The sequence below is a fragment of the Homo sapiens genome, chromosome 2 (assembly GCF_000001405.40).
Source record: "Homo sapiens chromosome 2, GRCh38.p14 Primary Assembly".
Classification (NCBI taxonomy): Eukaryota; Metazoa; Chordata; class Mammalia; order Primates; family Hominidae; genus Homo; species Homo sapiens.
The window spans coordinates 210673541-210679540 of NC_000002.12; the positions used below are offsets into that span (position 1 = coordinate 210673541).

A 6000-nucleotide genomic window follows, 5' to 3' on the forward strand; every position below is an offset into this window, starting at 1 on the left:
ATGAAATGCGTATAAATGAGGGGGCAGTCAGTTTGGGTTGTAAGTGTAATCGTGGGTAGAGGAACCCATGCTTGGAAACTAGGATGTAAGGGCAGGAATCTAGTTTTTAGGGGGGCTGAAAAAACAATTATTGTAATTATAATAATATTTATTAAGAACTATTAATAGGCAAGTAACTGTGCTAAATTATAGTAGTAACACTTAAGTAGTGCTTACTTCTAAATTAGTTTATTGAACACTCATACTAATGTAAGAACTGTTACTATTCCTGTTCAACAGATGAGGAAACTGCATCTTAGAGTTGTTAAGTAAGATATTCAAGGTAACACAGTTTAATAAGGTGTGGAGCCTCAAAAAAAAAAGTTGAAATACTACTATTGTCATCACTGTTTTTGAGTGAAGAAATGAAGGCAAAGACATTAACTTTTTGAAGCTCATACCACTAGTGAATGGTGAAAGCCAGGATTTGAAATGCAGCTAACTGACTTTAGAGCTCATTCTTTAGCTACAACTTTTTATTGCCTCAGAGTAAATGAAAAAAGAGTTCCAAAGATTGAGTTATTGCAGGGACTAGTGCATAAGCTACTAGGAAAATGGCCTAGTTATTGAAGAGCAGTACAAAATTAGAACTTAGAAATAAGAGCAAGTTGAGCCTGGGTGCAGTGGCTCATGCCTGTAATCCCAGCACTTTGGGAGGCCGAGGTGGGTGGATCACCTGAGGTCGGGAGTTTGAGACCAGCCTGACCAACATGGAGAAACCCTGTCTCTACTAAAAATACAAAATTAGCTGGGCATGGTGGTGGATGCCTGTAATCCCAGCTACTCGGGAGGCTGAGGCAGGAGAATCGCTTGAACCCAGAAGGCATTGCAGTGAGCCAAGATCGTGCCATTGCACTCCAGCCTGGGCAACAAGAGCAAAAAACCCCATCTCAAAAAAAAAAACCAAAAAAAAAAAAAAGAAATAAGAGCAGGTTGAATAGGCAAAACAGCTAGCCTGACTCGGTACTGGCTCCTAACCCGCATATCTTTTAAGTCCTCCCTGACCAGGAAAAGGATCCTTGTAGAACCGAAGTGGATCTGAACTTACAAAGACCAAGTAGATTAAATAGAGAATAAAAGGAGATAAGAACAAGGTGAAAAGCAGGGATCAAGATTATGTGGATGGAATTTCATTGACATTGGGATATAGCTAAAACTCACACTCACCATAGAAGGATAAAAGGATAAAACTTGTCATTTTTTAATATAAAGCATCCGGCAACATGTAACATTGTCTTTTAAGATGTTGTAAGGAAATACCATATTGCATAAATGAAGAGCATGTATATCTAGAAAGTGAATTTTGTGAAATTCCTTTTCAGCAATCATTCCGGCCAAGATTCCTTGGTGTGGCTGAACAATTACACAATGAAGGTTTCAAGGTATGTTCATTAGTTTTAAGTTGTTTTCTGTCAGCATGGAATCTGTCCACAAATCAAAATATTGCAGAATATTGGAAAAGAAATAGCCCAAAATATGTCCTTTTGATATGAAAGGTTTAACTAACTTGGTAGTTTCAAAACTTAGAGTCAAATCATTAAAAAGACTGGTATTAACTTTTAACAAAATTACCACAAATTCAATAGAAGTTGCCAGCTAAAAACTGAGAAAGTTTAGCTTAAGCACAATTGAGACAAAGTCCCAACACATTTCCATATGTTTTTCCTTTTTTTGTTTTCATATGAGGTTATAGATTCTAGCTGTGACAGTTACAGGCAAAACTTCTTTGCAGTGAATACCTCCACACAAAGCCTGGTTGAGTAAAACAAAATTATTCCCAAGGCTTATGATGGGCCTGTGGCCATGGGGATTTTTTGACCTGCTAACAAGGAATTAGCCATGAATAATTGAGAAATTATTAAATTTATGAGAAATTGTCATTGAATTATTAAATTCAAATTAAACATATAATTATTAAAATGGAAATGCAAATAAAATTGAGGTTCTTAAGTTTTTTAAATCACTGCAAATATATAAAAAATGTTTAAAGTGCCCATGCCTCTGGACTGTGAGTCCAAGTCTCTATCCATGGCACTATACTACTTCTCATGTTCAGCAATTTCTTCTTCTTTATGTTTTAAATTACATGTTCCATAAAAATAAGAAATCACTGTGATACGGTAATTGATTTTTTCATTTTAAATGCAGCTGTTTGCCACGGAAGCCACATCAGACTGGCTCAACGCCAACAATGTCCCTGCCACCCCAGTGGCATGGCCGTCTCAAGAAGGACAGAATCCCAGCCTCTCTTCCATCAGAAAGTAAGAACTAGGCATACTGTTTTCTGAAATAATTTAGAGGATTAACTTTGAGAACCAGTATATGAATATTTCACCTTACTTGATTGCAAGTCTTTTAAAACAAATTTAAAAATGAATACATTTGTGGATGATTGTCAAGTTTCACTCTCCATCACTATGGAATACATAACGTCATGTGTACATGGTGATATGAAACGTGTTTCAAAATACTTCTTAGTAAGGATACTTTCCTTGACGGAAACAAGTGAGAGCATGAAGAATGTAATGCAGCACTTTATATTTCATGTCAAACTTATATTGTGTATAGATAAGTACATCGAGTATAAGATGACCAGCTATATTTCACTAAGGTTGTGCATAATAAATCAATTTGTTGAGCACTTACTACATACAGGAACCTATGTTGAGTACTATGATGATGTCATCCATTGGATTACCTAATTGGTCATTCCTTGACCAGGTTTTCATGCCTTAGACCATGTCATCATTAGATTTTGTACGACATTTTATTTCAGCAGATTGTGTGAATCTTCAGGAATACCATTGCATCAACCCTTAAAGATCTATGTGGCATAAGTACATAGGAGATAATTCTCTGCTGTTTTAAGATAGTGCAGCCTACAGAATGGCTGTGCCATTCTATGCAATATGTTATTTGTTAGCGTTCTTGAGAAACCAACACATAAATTATTATCACTTTAATAAAATAATGGCATTGTGTTCAAACCTTAGCAGGCCTCCAAGGATGTAATAGCTCCGTGTTTGGGGCATTGTAAAACAATAATTAGCACTACTAAGGAGGCAATAGAGTTAATGTGGGAGTGGGAACATGGGGGTGAAAGGGCATTCAATGGTGGAGGGATCACCTCTTTTTAAAAAATAAGTATCTATCAAATTACCAATTCTTAATGAGTGAACAGATAGCATTTTAAAGAGAAAACAAACATCTGCATTCCATTAGACTTGCACTAGAATTCCTTCAAGAACACAATATAATCCCTATATAAGTGTAATTTAAACATCTACTTAGCAATAGAGGAGGGCAGATGGCAGTCAACTCAGCATGGCATTGACTTGAATGGCTAAGAGAGCAATTTATGTTAGTATTTTATAAACTAACTATAAAATATGCCTTGTTGTCTATAAGTTTTTGTTTATTTTTCCAGATTGATTAGAGATGGCAGCATTGACCTAGTGATTAACCTTCCCAACAACAACACTAAATTTGTCCATGATAATTATGTGATTCGGAGGACAGCTGTTGATAGTGGAATCCCTCTCCTCACTAATTTTCAGGTATAGTCTTTTCCTTGGATATAGACTGGATGGGAGTTTTATTTCTGTGCCTCCCTTAAGAGTGTAATCAGTAGATGCACATCTCTCTTTTCCCCTCTTTGTAACTTTCAGAATAGAGAGGAATTTTTAATAATCTAAAATAATGATGCTAACATGGTAGGTCATGGCTTAAATGGGACAGTTGGTGATCAAGCAATTGAGATAATCAAAGGCCATGAATGGCCATGGCTCTCTCCTTACAATTATCCTTTGAATAAAAAGTGACAGCATGACATGGAATAAAGATACAAACTTTTATTTCATTGTTTCTAAATGAAAGCCACCATATAAAAGCAACAGGTTAATGATGGTCCAGATGTAGCACAAGTGCTTGTTCAATTCACAGAAAATGATTGCATGAGGCATGTTCAGTTTCACTTGGACATGACCCATCGAATTTATCACAGGGAGAAACAGAGTGGAGACTCATTAACTTTCTGCCTATCATATTTATTTTTTATGCAGAATCAGTTTTAATCCCTATGGGAGGAGAAATAAGCGTATTCACAGTGACATCTGAGATATAAAAGAAAGTCCCCATGGTGAGGTCTGAGACATGGGAGAAAGTCTCCATTACATAAAAAACTTTTATGCCTTTTATCCCATACCCCTTTGAAAACTGGGGACAGACACTTGTGACTTTTGTCTTCATTCATTAAAAATTCACTTTTATCTCATGGAGGGTGCTGATTCCTACCATTATATTTTCAGGTGACCAAACTTTTTGCTGAAGCTGTGCAGAAATCTCGCAAGGTGGACTCCAAGAGTCTTTTCCACTACAGGCAGTACAGTGCTGGAAAAGCAGCATAGAGATGCAGACACCCCAGCCCCATTATTAAATCAACCTGAGCCACATGTTATCTAAAGGAACTGATTCACAACTTTCTCAGAGATGAATATTGATAACTAAACTTCATTTCAGTTTACTTTGTTATGCCTTAATATTCTGTGTCTTTTGCAATTAAATTGTCAGTCACTTCTTCAAAACCTTACAGTCCTTCCTAAGTTACTCTTCATGAGATTTCATCCATTTACTAATACTGTATTTTTGGTGGACTAGGCTTGCCTATGTGCTTATGTGTAGCTTTTTACTTTTTATGGTGCTGATTAATGGTGATCAAGGTAGGAAAAGTTGCTGTTCTATTTTCTGAACTCTTTCTATACTTTAAGATACTCTATTTTTAAAACACTATCTGCAAACTCAGGACACTTTAACAGGGCAGAATACTCTAAAAACTTGATAAAATTAAATATAGATTTAATTTATGAACCTTCCATCATGATGTTTGTGTATTGCTTCTTTTTGGATCCTCATTCTCACCCATTTGGCTAATCCAGGAATATTGTTATCCCTTCCCATTATATTGAAGTTGAGAAATGTGACAGAGGCATTTAGAGTATGGACTTTTCTTTTCTTTTTCTTTTTCTTTTTTTCTTTTTGAGATGGAGTCACACTCTCCAGGCTGGAGTGCAGTGGCACAATCTCGGCTCACTGCAATTTCCGTCTCCCAAGTTCAAGCGATTCTCCTGCTTTAGACTATGGATTTCTTTAAGGAATACTGGTTTGCAGTTTTGTTTTCTGGACTATATCAGCAGATGGTAGACAGTGTTTATGTAGATGTGTTGTTGTTTTTATCATTGGATTTTAACTTGGCCCGAGTGAAATAATCAGATTTTTGTCATTCACACTCTCCCCCAGTTTTGGAATAACTTGGAAGTAAGGTTCATTCCCTTAAGACGATGGATTCTGTTGAACTATGGGGTCCCACACTGCACTATTAATTCCACCCACTGTAAGGGCAAGGACACCATTCCTTCTACATATAAGAAAAAAGTCTCTCCCCAAGGGCAGCCTTTGTTACTTTTAAATATTTTCTGTTATTACAAGTGCTCTAATTGTGAACTTTTAAATAAAATACTATTAAGAGGTAATGCAGTTGAATCTGGTTTTATTTTATGTTGCTGTACAAAAATCAGTTTACTTCTATGATAAAATAGGGTTTTGGGCCAGGATTGCATTGCTTATTTATTTTTTCCATGCAAACCCATATAGGGATGAGAAAATTAATGTTAAAAATAAGTTTTAGCTGTCACATTTTTCATTTTTTCTTGTCCCTCCCTTGCTTTTAAGTCTCATCATAACATTATGTGGTTATATGGCTATAAACCATCTTTGATCTGGATCCTTTCTAATGTATAACTACAACCACAAACTGATTAAAGATTGCCACAAATATATAGTAAACTTTCAAACAAATGTCTTGCATAACTCAGAAAAGTAACTTAACCCAATCAGAGGCTGACCAGCATTGTCTGATGGAAATAGTGCCAATGAGCACACTGATGCCATATCCCCAATTTACCA

General features: G+C 36.0%; 1 protein-coding gene across 6 annotated transcripts in view; it reads left to right on the forward strand.

Annotated features, from left to right (window-relative positions):
• CPS1 (carbamoyl-phosphate synthase 1) overlaps positions 1 to 5567 on the forward strand; it is a 201423-nt gene extending 195856 nt beyond the window's left edge. For all 6 annotated transcript variants that reach the window (NR_161225.1, NR_163592.1, NM_001369257.1 and 3 more), the window contains 4 exons: positions 1362 to 1421; positions 2188 to 2300; positions 3467 to 3596; positions 4347 to 5567. Coding sequence is in view for 4 of the 6 variants with exons in the window: in NM_001369257.1 (NP_001356186.1) it covers positions 1362 to 1421; positions 2188 to 2300; positions 3467 to 3596; positions 4347 to 4445 (402 nt within the window). In the remaining 2 variants the exon portion in view is untranslated. The remainder of the gene's footprint in view (positions 1 to 1361; positions 1422 to 2187; positions 2301 to 3466; positions 3597 to 4346) is intronic.